Source organism: Homo sapiens, chromosome 15 (genome assembly GCF_000001405.40).
Source record: "Homo sapiens chromosome 15, GRCh38.p14 Primary Assembly".
Lineage (NCBI taxonomy): Eukaryota > Metazoa > Chordata > Mammalia > Primates > Hominidae > Homo > Homo sapiens.
This window is the reverse complement of record NC_000015.10, coordinates 91,255,038-91,272,649: the sequence shown is the minus strand read 5'-3', so window position 1 is coordinate 91,272,649 and position 17,612 is coordinate 91,255,038. Positions and strand designations below refer to the sequence as shown.

General features: G+C 44.2%; 1 protein-coding gene across 15 annotated transcripts in view; it reads right to left on the bottom strand.

The window, feature by feature from the left end:
- The window catches only part of SV2B (synaptic vesicle glycoprotein 2B), a 202,978-nt gene that overhangs the window by 29,916 nt on the left and 155,450 nt on the right, over positions 1-17,612 (bottom strand). For all 15 annotated transcript variants that reach the window (NM_001323031.2, NM_014848.7, NM_001323032.3 and 12 more), the window contains 5 exons: positions 14,096-14,229; positions 12,241-12,330; positions 5,958-6,068; positions 5,007-5,095; positions 4,045-4,209 (listed from right to left, as the gene is read on the bottom strand). In NM_001323031.2, coding sequence (NP_001309960.1) covers positions 4,045-4,209; positions 5,007-5,095; positions 5,958-6,068; positions 12,241-12,330; positions 14,096-14,229 — 589 coding nt within the window. The remainder of the gene's footprint in view (positions 1-4,044; positions 4,210-5,006; positions 5,096-5,957; positions 6,069-12,240; positions 12,331-14,095; positions 14,230-17,612) is intronic.

Here is a 17,612-nt window from a genome sequence, read left to right as displayed (position 1 = left end):
TTTTCATACTGAGCTATTCACCTCTGACCTTTACTAAAAACTCAAGAGAGCTTTTCTCCCATCCTTCATTGGCAAATCATCTGAGTGAGCAGTTACACGTTCCTACCTGAGTAAGAACACAGCATCAGCTTTGAGGAACCGCCAGGAGTAAGACATTACTTCCTGGGTCACGACCTATCACAGACAGAAATCAGGCATCTCTCCCTGATGTGCAGAAAGGTTTAAATAAGATAATGCTCTCCTGCTCCTAACCCTCACAGAAGAAAGCCCTACCAAGCAGAAATGTCTTCCCAGGAAGAGAAGGTAAGTTTGTTAATTAATTACTTAGTTAATACATATTCTGGGTAGAAACTCTATCCTGTTTTTAGCTAACAATAAAGGAAGCCTGGCCTGACATTTTGGCTCAGGGTTTAAAACATGAACTTATTCTTTTGCCTTTCTTGCACTTTCCAAAAACTCACAGGTTTTGAAGCAAAAGCTTCATGGGTACTCAGAGCCCCCAGATCCCCAAAAAGGCACTAGAAGGATGCAGATGATGCTTTGGGAGCAGACCAAAACTAACCTTGGCACTTTTGTTTCTTCTTGGGGGCAAAGAGATTGGTTTTACTGCAGGATGAAACTGAGGTTTCAATAGAATTTCCTTTGTCAACAACTTCCGTGGGTGAAGCTCTGTTTACAAAAAATAATTTTCCACCATGCGTGATACTCAATAAAATAATTTCCATCGAAACCTTAAATCAGCCAAGTATGAATAAAGTCAAAGGAGGAATACTGGTAAGGATAGAAGAAATGCCCCCAAGGAAGCCAAAGAACACGCGTGTATTCATGGAGGCGCTCAGAAGAGGGTTGGGGTTTTCAAAGATGAGCTGTTTTCCAGCTCACGACCAGCAGATGGCAGCATAACTCAAGAAAAGAAGCCAGGCTCCTTTCATTCCTTAGATCGCTTTCAAAGGTTCCTAACCAGTCAAGGAGAAAAATACCCTTTTTATTCAAGCAAGTTGCTGGGGAGGGAGTGGGGGAATTATGGGCTTCAAATAATAGTGGGTATAGGTTTAGTGTCTGTTGGTTAAAAAACATGTACCATATGATGAAAGTTACAATGAACTCATTACAACTTTTGAAGAAATTTATATTTTCATAATCATACAAAAGCATCTATGTACATTTGAAGCATAGAAACATGGTAGAAAATGTGTGAAGACAATCCACTCCAAGACAATCCTTGGCACACCTATACATTCCCAGACCTTGGCAATAACACTGGCTGCTACAGTTACCATTATTAGCAATTTCATTGTCACTACTATCAATATTATTACTCATATCACAATGATATATCTGCTAAACACTGGGAACTTCAGAAATGAGGTCTCCTTAAAAGAATTCATCTCTGCAGGGAATGGTGTCACCCCGTGGGGCGGGGAGAGGCATCTAGTCATCCATAATGTTCCTCAGGGGGTCCTGAATCCACAAAATTCATTAACCATCATCCACAGGATTCACCGTCCACCCATCATCCACAGGATTCACCATCCACCCATCATCCACAGGATTCACCATCCACAACATCATCCACAGGACTTACCGTCTGCCCATCATCCACAGGACTCACCGTCCTCCGATCATCCACAGGACTCACCGTCCTCCCATCATCCACAGGACTCACCGTCCGCCCATCATCCACAGGACTCACCGTCCTCCCATCGTCCACAGGACTCACCGTCCTCCCATCGTCCACAGGACTCACCGTCCTCCCATCATCCACAAGATTCACCGTCCGCCCATCATCCACAGGATTCACCGTCCCCCCATCATCCACAGGATTCACCATCCCCCCATCATCCACAGGATTCACCATCCCCCCATCATCCACAGGATTCAACACTGCTTTCTTCAGCCCCTGTTTCCTCCTCACTCCCACCCAGCAGTTTGCTGAAAGCCCGGAGAAGCTGAGCAAAGTTAAAATGACAGAGTGGATCAAAAGTCTCCACTTTCTGCCTAGCTAAGTGTCAGAACTGCAAAACCTGCTTGTTACAAATCACAAGGACTCTGCGTTGTATTGACTTTAATGCAGAAAGTATCATGTAAAACAGCGCCTCTGTAGGAATGAAGAGTTTCCCAATGAGAAAATATTTGTAGTTGTCAAGAGTCCAAGATCTGGAGTCCAAATGCATGGGTTGGGAGATAGATATTTCTATGTATATTAGCTGTGTGATCTTGAGCAAGATACTTAACCTCTCTAAGCTTCTGTTTCCCCACTTGCAAAAGAGAAAGCATATTTCTTGTTCCCTGGAGTTTTGTGAGATATCTACGTAAGGCACTTAAGGTAGCACCTGGCACACAGCAATGCTCATTAACATTGCCTGCTACAGTGACTATCATTGGCATTATTATCACTGTCACTGCTACCATTAGTATTACTTGTATCAAAATAATGTATCACTAAACATTGGGAACTTCAGAAATGAGGTCTCCTTTAGGGAATTCATCTCTGCAAGGAATGGTGTCACCCCATGGGTGACATCTAGTCATCCATAATGTCCCTTAGTTTTCAATATTTCCAAAGTATCCTAATAAAGCAAGGGTGATATTTCTTCCTTGGCAATGTCAACACAAGACCTCCTGACATACTAAAGAGCTCAGACAATGAAACATCTTGGGGGAACTGCCTTCCACCACCACAAGCTGCCATCCCTAGAGTGGTCACTCTGGGCAGAGGATAATGACTCTGAACTGTCTCTGTAGGGGATGTATAGATGCATGGGTATATGAGTATGGAGATGTCTGCAACTGGGCTTCAGCATTTTAAAAATTCTGAAAATCTGAACCCATGTCAATGATACTTAGTCCAAAACCTTCCTTCCCAAAGGTCTGATATTGGTAGAAATAATATTCTCCTTTTTATTGCACACTTTCTCACCTTAAATAACAGGAAGCCTTAGCTAAAGTCTAGCCTGTAAGAACAATATAGAATAAACTGAAAGAGGTATCCTTCCTGGGCTTCACCCAGCCATTCCTTTCCTAAAGTGGCCAGGAGTCACTACAGGTAGGGACTTTACTGAGACACCAGACGCATATGTGGGTGCAGACAGAGGGAGATACAACATTCACCAGAGGTGAGAATTCGTGGTGTTAATTTTGTATTGAAGTGGTAAATATGGGGCAGTTAATGTGACTGACATTGAACTATCTGGGCCATGGTATTTCAGGTGCCACTGTATAGCCCATGGCCACCCATTTACTTACCATTCACAACCTGATGAGCTTGCTAAGTACAGTTCAGGAAGGGACACAGCAGAGGGGTAAATGCTCAGTTTAGTGAATAATGTGGGCTTGGGTAAGCGTGATTAAGGTCCTGCCCTGATCCATCTTGAGGGTTTCAGAGGACAGTTTCAAAGAGGCATTCCTAAAGCACAACAGGGCGGATGGCCCATCTCATTTGTCCCAGAACCAGGAGGAGGAGGAGTAAAATGGATTGAGGAAGCAGCCCCACAAAGCTGTGAACAGGACTTTTCTAATCCTCCACTGATTTTTTTTTTTTCCTCTAAAAAACACTCCTAGCTGACTGTGGACCATACTGATCAACGCTCCAAAGGAATATTAGGTGAAAGAATAACAACAGGGCTTTATTTGTCCTGGCATGGAAAAGCTTCTAGGGTCAAAGTAAAAGCTCAACACCCAGGCTTTGGACTAGTTCGGGAATCTCAGCAGTAAGAGCCCTAGGCCCTTTCTCTGGGCAGCCACTCTTAATGGGACATCACTTGGAAAAATGGCCCAACTGACCGTCCTCAGTCAAATGTCTCCATCCTCACATGAAATAGCTCTCACCAGGAGATTAGGGTGTCGGGGAGCCAGCACAACACAGACACAGCCACTAGGGGAGCTATGGCGTCACTGGCAGCCATGACAGGTTGTGATGATGACACCAGCCTTGGCGCTCATTCCCGGCCATATTTGATTCTTATCTTCCCTCCGGCTCCCTCCCAATAACAGTCCCCACGACTGTCACCCTGATGTGAGGGAAGCCCGTGATCACTCACTTACTTATCATTCACAAGTTTCCCATGTTGGTGGATCTGATTTTCCATCGTGAAGTTGATTGTGGCGCCGTACACATGCTCACCAAAAAACACCTTCATTTTAGACTTGTATTCTTCATCTTGAAAATAGCGGATCATATCAGGAAACCAAACTGTCAGTCCATAGTAACTGGAGTGGAGAAGGCAGAAGGTTGCAACAACAACAGGATTCATTCTTTCATGATCAGGGTCTACACTCTTGACTTGATGCAGATCAAACTCATTGAAAATACATTAATTTGGTTCATTATTAGAAAATCTGACAATATAAATCCTCATATTAATAAATACAAGGGGAAAACTATGACCACCTCCATAAATGCTGAAAAGGCATTTGATTTAAAAGAAATGTTTTCCTGATACAAACACCAATAGATTAGGGGTTGAGGGACACCTCCTTAACATGTAAAATATACATGTCTCAGCCAGAATCTTAGTGAATAGGGAAACACTAAAGACATCCCCACTGGCTGGATGTGGTGGCTCACACCTGTAATCCCAGCACTTTGGGAGGCCAAGGAAGGCAGATCACTTGAGGTCAGGAATTCAAGACCATCCTGGCCAAGATGGCAAAACCCCATCTCTACTAAAAATACAAAAATTATCCAGGTGTGGTGGCACACATCTGTAGTCCCAGCAACTGGGGAGGCTGAGGCAGGAGAATAGCTTGAACCCAGGAGGCACAGGCTGCAGTGAGCCAAGCCCATGCCACTGAACTCCAGCCTGGGTGCAGAGCAAGACTCTGTCTCAAAAAAAAAAAAAAAAGTTTCTTCTTTGTAGAAGCCACTAGAGTTGGTTTTCTGCTACTTGCCACCAAAGCATCCTACCTGATACAAATTCTAAGTCAGAACTCACTGTAATCCTCAATGTGTAAAGGAGGCCACTGAGGCACAGGGAATTACGAAATTTAAGTAAGACAGAACTTACCTGAATGCCATGGCAAACCAAACCACGGCCAGAATCAGTGTATTCATTCTGTAGGGCCCCATCACACAGTACAGGGCATTATCCCAGACCTACAACCCATACCAGAGAAGGATTGTTAAAGAAAGCAATGTGTGACTTTGTTTCTCCCACGAAGAGCTCATTACTCAGATATTCTAATAAGTTGCCTAGGAACCCATGGAGAGAACCGGTACCCCACTGTCTCCTAGAGGCAGCAAAACTGTCCAAATAACAAGGAAAGCCTCTTCTCTTCCTACTGGCTGGCCTCATACTCTAACAGTCCAATAGGATTTTCCCCGGGAGCACAGCATTCCATGAATGTGATTGAAAGCACACTGAGTTAGGACTTCAAGGCACTGAGTAACCTTGACTGCTGAGTTCTACTCCCTGCCTGTGGGCAAGGGGGATATTGCAAACATTTACTGACCATACACCATGAAGGCCAACCAGTCCCAATAGACGCTGGCTGTCTGGCTGCCTCAGTGCTCAATAGCTGACTGGCTCCCTACTTGGAGGAGCCAGTGCTCCAGAGAAATGGCATTGCCCTTTTAGAAAAATGTTTCTTGGAAATCAAGAACAAGCCTCAAGGGGTCATTTATTTTACTCACTTCTTCCTCCATGTGATTATTTTAAAATTTGCTAGAGAGAATAATGTTTACTCAGACTAGACATTTTATCTACATTCAAAATCCCTGCCTTGGGAAGGAAGAACAAAGAAAAGAAACTAAGATTTAGAGAGTTTTCAGCTCCAGGGCACACAGCAAGCTAGAGGCAGACGTGGGCTGGAGCCCAAACGCCCCCCTCCAGGGTTGCTTCCTCTCCATCACGCTGGCCCAGGTTGGTGGGGATGTTCAGGAGCTGCATTTTTCATCCACTAAGGTAAGAGACTCCCATAGAGACGCATCCTCATCCAAAGTAAGTTCCCAATCATACCTGCTTGAAAATGGTCTTGAATCTGACCAGCCAGCGCTGGTACCAGGTTCCTGTTGAACTTTGGATCTCAATGAATTCATCCATTTGCTTGGGAGTTTTGATGTTGGAAACCTGAAAAGTAAAAATAGGATATAGAGAATTTGAACCCCACTTTGTGTCAGAGTTTTCAATGTGTAGTTTAATGTAACTATTTAAACTGATTTAGGACTAGAGGAGTCTGCGATTTCTCAAAGAGCATACTCAAAAAAATTCAAAAACTGTTTCCATCACCTCCTCCAATAAACTTTTCATCTAGGGATAAAGACGAGCCATAGAGTGTCTCCATCTCTTTCTTCAGCCAAAGGACTGAGGATATGAGGAGACAGCAGAAGGGAAATACAGATGCGACTGGGCAATCCGCGGGGAGAAAGCAGTCCCTGGAAAGTGGACAACGGACTCATCATTTCCCGAGGGCTAGGTCTAAGACAGCTTGGCTATTGTTTTTTAAACCCTAAAAACAGTGGGGGGTTTTGTTTTTTTTATTTGTTTGTTTTTGTTTGGTTTTGTTTTTTGAGACACAGTCTCGCTCTGTTGCCAGGCTGGAGTGCAGTGGCACGATCTCGGCTCACTGCAACCTCTGCCTCCCAGGTTCAAACGATTCTCCTGCCTCAGCCTCCCGAGTAGCTGGGACTACATGCCTGCACCACCACACCCAGCTAATTTTTTGTATTTTTTAATAGAGACAGGGTTTCACCATGTTGGCCAGGATGGTCTCCATCTCCTGGCCTCGTGATCCACCTGCCTTGGCCTCCCACAGTGCTGGGATTATAGGCGTGAGCCACTGCGCCCAGCCAAAACAGTGGTTCTTAAGCTTTTGGGAGAATTTGAGAATCTGCTAAAGGCATAGGCTCTCTTCCCAGAAATGTCAAGGACATGACCACACTGTGAGCCTCCTGGACTCATCTGGCCACTCCCAGCTATGCAGCCTTTGCAAATGATCTTCCGCCTGAGGTCAGACAGAGAAGCTTCAGAACTAACAAAGCAGGCTCTGCAGCTGAACTCTTGGCTGCAGCTGGGCTTCAAGCTATTCAGTACCTTCATGGATGTTATGACCCCCAGCTACAGATAAAGGAGGCTACAGGGGAAGTTAACATCAACTCAGGAAGCACCTTAAAAACCACACCCCAAAGCCTTAAGATATCCTCTCAAATGTCAGTTTTTCCTTTCTTTGCTCCTTGGGGAAAATAACAGTCTTCCTTTGGGATTAGGGAGTGAGTGTGTTGACAACTTGAAGCATAATTACTCACTCTAATTTACGATTCATTAGAACAATTGTCTATGATTCAGTCTAAATTAGAATATGGCCTGTGTTCCCCCAGCCCTGCAGATCGTGGGTTCTCAGCCGAATGCTTCAACTCCTTCTCCTTCCAAAGGTTTCACTGTGAGTTTGTGAGGCAGCCAACAGGGCTGGTAAAACCTAGAGCTCACGGCATGGGCATCAACTAAGAGTGTGACTGCCCTAAGCTCTCCCTCCAGGCCACTGAATACATCTATGAGCACGTCTGCTGATGGGACACGCACAGGAGTAAAACAGGTAACACCTTCAAGCTGGGCTGAGTACCCGCCCCTGACCGCCAACCACAGGCTGGCTCTCTAAGGTCAGTTACCACTTTCTGGTTGTCTCTCTTTTTTCATTTCTTTTTCTGGCCCATCCAGCCATTTACTTCTACATCATTAATATAATCATCAAGTCAGTATAGAATACTGAGCCCATAACCTTTTTAAGTCCTTCTTCCTGTTGGGTTAAAACTAAAAGCAGAAGTTATGCCTCAGAGCTTAGTAACTGGCACGCATGCTGGGATAAGACCAACTCCAACATTTTGTAACTCTCCGCACATTGATTTCTGCCTGCACATCCTTCCTCCGGGTGCACTCCCACCCCGAAAATGAGGAACTCTGATCCTGTTGTAAAAGGCTTTTGTGTCTGAAAATTGGCATTTTTATTTATTTCCTGGCTAAGATCTCATTCTTCAGCATTAGGCAGTTATATCTGTTAAAATAACTAAATGGGAGGCCACTCAACGGAGGTGGCTCTAATGCCCTGGGTTCCCACATCATCAAGCAGAAACCTAACTCAGAACTTTAAAGAAAATGAAACAAGCTCAGCCAATCCCAGTTGGCTGAGTGGACACTGGCTGTATTATCTTGAACTTCCCACTGGAATAATCCAAATGAGGCAATGGCCCAAACTCTAACCCAGCAAATGCTTTCTCTGCTCTGCTTCCATGTTCGACCTATAAAAGCCTCTCCCTCGTGCTCCTTAGGGAAAGCCCTGACCCACTTCCAGTGTGAGCTACCTGACTGATGAATCACTGTCTCCATAAATAAACTCTCTAAAATTTTAATGTGCCAGAGTTTCTCTCTTCACACAGTAGAATGCATCGTCAGGAGAGAATGTGGGATCACTTCTCCAAAAATGGGGCTCCCAGTGGGGCCTGTTTGGTTGGTGTAGAAGGAGTCCTTCCAGAAGCAACAGTTAGGAAACGCCTGGCTAAGCACCACTGCGTGGAACCTTCTGTACGAGACACCCTAGAGTAAGACGCAAGTGGGGAGGAGCTGACAGCGTGCCTGGGACAGGCAAGGGCAGACAGGCAGAACAGGGTGGGAAGGAATTATCCAGCAGGACTGCTCCTGGGACAGTCTGTGTGCATTTGAAATAAATCTGTTAATAACTGCTCGAGGCATGGGGAAATCCCAGAAAGACACTCTCAGATTTAAAACACTAGTAACCTACTGTGCATAAGCAAGGAGGAACTGTTTTATTCGAAAGGGAGAAGAATAGAGAGAAGGCAGAGGAAAGGAGGTGGAGAGACTGAAAGGGAGGAGGGGCACGGAGAAAGGAAGGAGAAGGCTGCACTCTGCGATGTAATTCCTCTGTTCACAAATGTTCGGGAAGTCCATTCAACCCAAACGCTTGGTATGGGTGATGTCTGTGTCTGTGTGTCTGTCTTAATGTGTGTCTGTGTGTGTGTCTCTGTGTGTCTGTGTGTGCCTGTGTCTGTGTGTTTGTCTTAATGTGCGTCTGTGTGTTTCTGTGTTTGTGTTCCTGTGTCTGCCTTAATATGTGTCTGTGTCTGTGTCTGTGTGTGTCTCTGTGTCTGTGTGTCTGTCTTAATGTGTGTCTGTGTGTCTCTGCATCTACATGTCTGTTTTAATGTGTATCTGTGTGTGTGTGTCCCTGTGTGTCCGTATGTTCCTGTGTCTGTGTGTCTGTCTTAATGTGTGTCTGTGTGTTTCTGTGTTTGTGTTCCTGTGTCTGTGTGTCTCTGCATCTGTGTCTGTCTTAATGTGTCTGTGTGTCTGTCTTCATGTGTGTCTGTATGTGTGCCTCTGTGTGTCCGTGTGTTCCTGTGTCTGTGTGTCTGTGTTCATGTGTGTCCATGTGTCTGTGTCCGTGTGTTCCTGTGTCTGTTTGTCTCTGTCTGTGTGTCTGTGTTCATGTGTGTCCATGTGTCTCTGTGTCTGTGTGTCTCTGTGTCTGTGTGTCTGTGTTCATGTGTGTCCGTGTGTCCCTGTGTCTGTGTGTCTCTGTATGTGTGCCTATGTCTATGTGTGTCTCCGTGTCTTTGTGGATGTGCTTGTGTATGCCCGTGTTTCAGGCCAGGTTGATGTAGTGCAAAAACCAATCCAGCCAATGTGGAGTCAGAGACTGGAGGCAGAGACAGAAGACCATGGAAACATCTTCCAGAAATAAGCAGCAGCTCGGAGAGAAGCTTAGACTTCCTCTGGCCATGGAACGAGGCAGCAGGGGCAGGGTGGCAGGACTGAGCCAAGTACACCCAGAAGCCTCACCAATGTGTGGCTTCCACACCCGCAGCACAGCGGGAGCACTACAGGCCATCACAGAGTCGGCGGGGATGGAAGATCGGGAGACTCACTGTGACCCTTAACATCTTTCATTTGGAGCATTTCTGTTCATCGTGCTTCTTAATAAATGTTTGCAGTACATGTTCTCCCTTATAAGTGGGAGCCAAATGATGAGAACTTGTGAACACAAAGAAGGGAACAACCAACACTGAGGTCTACTTGGGGGTGGAGGGTGGGAGGAGGAAGGGGGCAGAAGAGATAACTATTGGGTGCTGGGCTTAATACCTGGGTGACAAAATACCTGTACAACAAACCCCCGTGACACACGTTCACCTCTATAACAACCTGCACATGTACCCCGAACCTAAAATAGAAGTTTTAAAAAAATGGCAGGAAAAGCATTGGTCCCATATTTCAGATATTTTAGAAGCATTAGAATTGAGAAAATATCCCATTGAGGAATTTTCCATAAAATTTATAACTTGAGTTAATTTATGAAAAAATGTCATAATAATTTAAATAATGGTTAACGTCTGTGTAGCACTTACTCCAAGCCAGGCACCGGTTTTTGTTTTTGTTTTTGTTTTTGTTTTTTGGTGTTTTACTTAATCCTTACAATAGCCACATATATAGATATGATTATCCCTCTTTTCTCCATGAGAAAAATGAGGCACAGAGAGTACCTTGCCCAAGGCCACACAGCTAGAAAGTGTCAAAACTGGGATTTGATACTTTGGATGCAGGTGCTCAGCCACCGTGTGATCCTGCCTGAAAAGCAGACGTTTGAAGCAACAGGTTAACAAGGGTAAATGGTTTACTTGAGACTGAAATTATGGAAGCTAAAAAATAAAAGCAGTGAATCAAAGTTAGGTAGGAGTTACTCCAGGAAGGTTTCCTTGAGAAAATGGATTTGAAGTAGGGGAAGTTATAAAAACGGGTGCACAAAGATGCCTATAGCCTCCTGGTTTGTCAGAGCATGGCAGGCAGGAAGACAGCGTCTCTGTAACTATCAGGCCATCTTCATAGAAATTACCATTTACCATTTTGTTTTGGTTTTTTGTTTGTTTGTTTTGTCTGCTTTTAAAACTGGCAAGAAACAAAATTCAGACTAATAGCCACTGATGGTAAGGGTGTAAAGAAATGGGTCCTCTATTGCCTGTGGCATTGTAGATTGGTACAACCCAGTTGAAATGTATTATGATTTGGCAATGTATCTCAAGAGCTATAAAAATATCCAAGCTCTCTGAGCCAGCACTTTTATTTCTAGGAGTCTACTCCTAGAAATAAAACAATCCTAGGACATGAAGGGGAAGGAACTATGTGCACAAGAAGGTTCATTGCACTAATATTTACAGGAACAAGGTAGTAAAACTGGATAAACAAGCTTCTAACATTAGAGACATGTTAGGAAAACCATGTTAATGTTTGTAACATTACTGTTTATTAAAATGATGATTATGAATACTAGGAGACAGCATATAAAACAATAATGAGTGCTATACTATTAAATAATATGTACACATAAATATACATACATATGCTTATCCCCAGAGAAATCTGTTTATTTCTGTTATCTTTTTTTTTCAGACACAGTCCTGCTCTGTTGCCCAGGCTGGAGTGCAGTGGCACTATCTCAGCTCACTGCAACCTCTGCATCCTGGGTTCAAGCAATTCTCCTGCCTCAGCCTCCTGAGTAGCTGGGATTTTAGGTACCCGCCACCATGCCCAGCTGATTTTTTTGTATTTTTAGTAGACATGGGGTTTTGCCATGTTGGCCAGGCTGGTCTTGAACCCCTGACTTCAAGTGATCTGCCAGCCTCGGCCTCTGATGTGGTGTGGCTCTGCGTTCCCACACAAATCTCATCTTGAACTGTACTCCCATAATTCCCACATGTTGTGGGAGGGACATGGTGGGAGATAATTTTAATCATGGGGGTGGTTTCACCCATACTGTTCTCATGGTAGTGAATAAGTCTCATGAGATCTGATGGGTTTATCAGGGGTTTCTGCTTTTGCAAATTCCTCATTTTCTCTTGCCACCACCATGTAAGAAGTGCCTTTCGCCTCCCGCCATGATTCTGAGGCCTCCCCAGCCATGCGGAACTGTAAGTCCAATTAAACTTCTTTTTCTTCCCAGTCTCGGGTATGTCTTTATCAGCAGCATGAAAATGGACTAATACAGCCTTCCAAAGTGCTGGGATTACAGGCATGAGCCACCGCACCTGGCACCATTTTTAAAAACAACTAGCAACCTAAGGAAAAACCTCAAAGGATATCCATCAAAATGTGAAGAATAATTATTATAAAGTAACAGCAATATCAGAGTCTTTGTTCTCCTTTTGACAAATTTCCTGTTATGTGCTTAAATTACTTTTTAGTAAATCAAAGCAGTGAAGAGGAGAACCCCCTTCTTATTGGCAGGCAACCCCACACTCACCGTGAACACTTTCTCTGGGGTCCCCTTAGCTCTCATGTTGGTGTCATGGACTTGCTTGAGAATCATCCAGGCTTCATCATGTTTGCCCATCTGGTGAAACCAAGGAAAGACACAGGAAAAATTCATTGCTGACTATGCCTTCTGTTCATTAGGGGTGGAAAATCCTACAAACTCAATGGGAATGTTGATACGAGCATTCCTAGCAGGTCTGAGGCAATTGCACATGGACTCATTACCATCTAGGACCTGTGAAAGACCAGGACAAGCTTCCATCCCCAGCCATTCTTACAAGGATAATAAGGTTGTGCTTTCAAGGTGTAAATGTTAGGTAGTATCATCATTATACACTCTGAGTAACTAATCACAGTTATAAGGTTGAATGGACGGTGGTGTGGGAAGCACGTTCGTCACTGATGAGATAAGGCGAAGAAGCAACATGTTACAGGTTGAATTGTGTCCCCCCAAAAAAAGATATGGTGAAGTGCTAATCCCCAGTACCACAGAGAGTGACTTTATTCGGAAATAGGGTCGTGGCAGGTGCAATTAGCTAAATTAAGATTACGACATTCTGGAGTAGGTGGAGCCTTGTTTCGATATAACTGCTGCCCTTATAGGAAGACCTCCATATGGAGACACAGAGGCATCAGGGAGGACACCATGTGACGATGAAGGCCACGACTGGAGTGTTGCAGCTGCAAGCCAAGGAATGGTCAAAATTGCCACAAACCACCAGAATCTGAAAGAGGCAAGGAAGGAGTCTCCCGTACAGTTTTCTGAGGGAGCATGACCTTGCTGCTGCTTTGATTTGGGACTTCAAGCCTCTGAAACTGTGAGATAAATTTGTCCTTTTAAGTCACTCGGTTTGTGGCATTTTGCTACAGCAGCCCTAGGACACTCATATCCAACCAAGGGTGCAAAACTCCCTGTTGCATCTGCCTCCTGATCAAAGGGGTGAACACGGACATTGGACATGGAGGATCACTCTGCACATGGCTTAGGAAGGAGGCAGATAGGTGGACTCTGCAGATTGGGGCTGGAAGAGCCTCAAGGTCCTGTTGCCCCTCTGCCTGCTTCTGCACTGTCTGACTTCTGCAAGCAGGAGGTTCCCCTGCTGTTGGAAGGCTCATGGGACTCATTTCTCAGGACACAGATGCAGCTGTCTGGTGGCTGGGGACCCTGTGTAGCTAAAAGACCTGAAGTGCTTAGGAGCAGCAACGAGCTGTACCATAGCTCTCAGTGCCAAACACGGAAAACCAGCAGCTCTAAAGAGCTTCCTTTATTTATTTATTTATTTATTTATATTTTTATTTTTTTGAGACAGGGTGTCTCTTTGTTACCCAGACTGGAGTGCAGTGACACAACCATGGCTGTCTCCAGCCTTGATCTCTGGGGCCCAAGCAGTCCTCCCACCTCAGCCTCCCAAGTAGATGGGACCACAGGCATGCACGCACCAAATCGCTCAACTAATTTTTTTTTTTTTTTTTTTGTAGAGATGAGGTCTCCCTGTGTAGCCCAGGCTAAAAAACTTCCTAATCAGGACCTCGGGGGACAGTGGGTGCCATGAGGCAGCTCAGGAGCTGCCCTTCCACCACTGCACAGCCTTGGGAAAGAGCTCCTGCTCTGGGCTCCACAAGCTCTTGAACCATCCAGCATTTGCAGTCCGTGAATCCATGACCTGCCACCATCACAGCCGGCAGGTGCCAGATTCAATGATGAGTGAGGTCAGCCGACCAGGGGAGAGTTTGCAACACATAAGCAGCAGAGGATGTGGGACTAGGAGCTGAGAGAAGGAAGCGAGGCTGGGTTCCTGTGGCTGTTTTGTCACTCTCCCCCTGGTGGAAAAGCACTGACTCACCTCTAGCAGAAACCTTGGGCTCTCTGGCATGAACTTCAGGGCCACCATGGACACGGTGCAGGGCAGAGCACAGACGATGACAAACACTCTCCAGCTATGGAAGTGGTAATTGGTCCCCATGCTGAAGCCCCAGCCTGCAAAGGAGCAGTCAGTCAAAGGATTTCTGGGACATGATCTTTTCCTCTACGGAAGAGTGACTCTGAAGCCCTGGCTCACAAACTTCAGGGCACAAGAGAGTCACCCGGGGAGGTGGTTAAAATGCAGACTCCTCAGCTGTGCCTCCGAAGCTTCTGAGTCATAAGCCTGGGATAGGAGCTGCATCTTGACAAATCTGCAAAATGATATTTCTCACATTGCAAATTCTGCATTCTGACAAATCCCCAGGAATTCTGCATTCTGACAAATCCCCAGGTCCAGGCCTGGCCTGACATTTACAGAGCCTCGGATAAGAGTACAAACAGAAACAATAGCCCGTATCTCTACAGAATCATTATATTTTAAGATGGCAGATTGTTAAAGGAAACATATTCTATTTGCCTGCCTTGACAAGCAACAAGCTAGAAGTCCAGGCCCAGAATTTACACCCACATATGCCACATCCCCTTTTCAATCCCCCACCTCCTCCTTCCAAATAAGGGACCTCATGCAGACATGCGTGGACACACCACTGTGATGAGAATGGGCACTCCTGTCTTGATTTCTTGAGTCTATGGGAATTCCTGGGTCCTGAGCACCCAGAGCATAATCTGGATGAAGATGGGGATGGGGGTCAAGGCCTCAGAGATGCCTTGCCTTATGGGAAGGGGTGCAGCCAGAGGAAGGCCAGAGCAGGGCCTCATACGACCCAGGGCTTCTATTGGTGATCCCTCTTTCCAACGTCAAAGGGCAATGCCAGCTCCAGGTGATTCCAGCGCAAAGGGTTCAGGACCACATTTTGAAAAACACTGTAAGCTGTTATACGGCTACACAATTTTTTTAAATGAGGGACTGAACTTCTACATTCCAATGCATCCCATCATCATTGAAATGGGAAGATAACTAGCTCCTATTCAATCATCATTATTCAAAGCATTGCTAAAACCCATATTCAGAAATTACATTCAAGCATTGTTTTGAATATCCTCATGGGTAGCAAACTTCCCTCTTTTAAGTAATAAAGTGGAAAGAGCCTAGACTTTTGCAGTCACAGAGATCAGAGTTCAAATTCTGGTCTGATCCCATCGAACTGCACTGGTGGGTTTTCGCAGCTGTAGAATACAGGTAATGATACCTCCATAGATTTGTCATGTGTGAACGCTCCTAGCAACCCATTATACTTCACCTGCTTTGAGAGTACATTGATTTTTTTTAGAAATAGCTCCATGACATTTAGTGCCAAGGATGTTGAATAAAATAGATAAATATCAGCAAAGATCAGCAAAAGAATTTTTAAAAAATAGAGCCGAGGTTATAAAATAGACTGGTTTTCTCATGCCATAAAGTATTTCTGAAGACAATTCAAATGGTATTTGTGAAAGACAAGACTATGTAAATAAATATATCAATTTATAAAGTTTAGAGGGCAATAGTTATTTGGATATAAAACTTCTATTTCATTTACCTAGAAATATAACATATGACCAACTCCAGTGGCAAACAGCTTGCCTTGAATTTTTATTACTCCCCGTTGTGGTTCAACTTGTTCTACTCGCAGCAGACTCCTAACCAATTATCTGCTGTTCCTGCAGACATTTTCTACACTATTTGTACAATTAAAAGACTAGGTAGAGGGAATCCCGGTGTGGAAATGTGGGACTGTGGTCCCTTGGACACCTTTGACCACAGCAACTGAACACAAACCTCATCCAATACACTCAATCAGAATCAAATCTCTTTTTGCACAGCTTGGTCTCTTATCATCTCACTGAGGTTTGTTCGTTCACTTTAATTTTAATTAAAAAGCCTTTCCTTTCTCCTGGGAGTAACACTAGAAAGAGGAAGATAAAACCATAGCAATATTTACACGTTCTCAGCTCACGTGCAAAAACTACTCTGGCATCATTAGAAGTAAAGGTGATCGAAACCACACAGCAGTCAAACTCAGATGGATAACCAGGGAAGAGGGGCAGAAGCAGTCATCTTTATAAAGTATTCTGCTTCAAAAAGATCTTTTTCTTTATGATAATATGCACAAATTATACAAAATCCATTATTCCTTCACGCCTCTATGGCTTTTATGGTGATTTCAGTAATCTGCATTTATCGCATTCATTAGGCACATCTTCAGGGCCCTAAATTAAATAAAATTAAATGGCAAACTGCTTCCAAATATTTGGAACAATATTAATTTGGAGGAAGGGATTGTTCTGTTTGCTGATCTTCTAGCTTGCCCTACTTTTCTCTGTCAGGATTTCACAAACAGCTGGTAATGCTGACTACAATGGGAATTAATCTTCCATAATATATCCATTTTTTTTTCTGAGCTTTACCCGTGAGTTCACAGGAAAACATTCTGAGCTTTGTAATTTTCTTTCTCAATGAGCCAATCACTCAAATTCCTGGTGCCAAGACTTCCCTTTACTTCATTCTTGCAAAATCAATTAAACAGGTTACACAAGCTGTACACACAAATATCAGTCTCTTCTCTAAAGCTACACTTGCATTTGTTAGAAGATTAATGCATTAGGCACATTGGAAAATACCATCAAATGTCTGGTTCACTGCGGACAAAACATCTGAGGCTTAAGATAAATAATGGCTCTTGTTACACTGTGATTCTAGTCTACCATATTTCTAGGATGGATTTCCCCCAAGTGAACGCCTGTTTCAATTAAGCCTGATCATCCAAGAGGCTTCTATTTTAAAATGGAATATAAAAGTCACAGATATCATACAGGCATACACATAGGGAAATGTCCTGTCCATTTGGGGTAAAATAATTTTTTTAATTTTTTATTTCCATAGGTTATTGGGGAACAGGTGGTGTTTGGTTACATGAGTAAGTTCTCTAGTGGTGATTTGTGAGATTTTGGTACACCCATCACCCAAGCAGTATGCACTGCACACAATTTGTAGTCTTTTATACCTCACCCCCTTCCCACCCTTTCCCCGAGTCCCCAGAGTCCCTTGTGTCATTCTTATGCCTTTGCATCCTCATAGCTTAGCTCCTACTTATGAGTGAGAACATACGATGTTTAGTTTTCCATTCCTGAGTTACTTAATTTAGAATAATCATCTCATCTGGGGTAAAATACTTAACCACAAGCCCTGCTGTCAGCCCGCAGTGGTCAGACAATTACCATGGGGCCCCTCTGCCATGGACATCCCATCTATGTTGGTCAACATGTCCCCAACCTGAATTCTTTTATTGCTTTCCTAGAAGTCACACACTTAGACAATAGTGTGTGTGTCTGTGTAAGTGTGTGTGTTTGTGAAGTGAAAAAAAGAGGTGGGTTGCCAGCTTCCCTCACAACATCCTCCTGCCTTTTCTTCACCACTGTGTTGCACACCTGTGGTTTGGGTGGGACTGACCCTACCC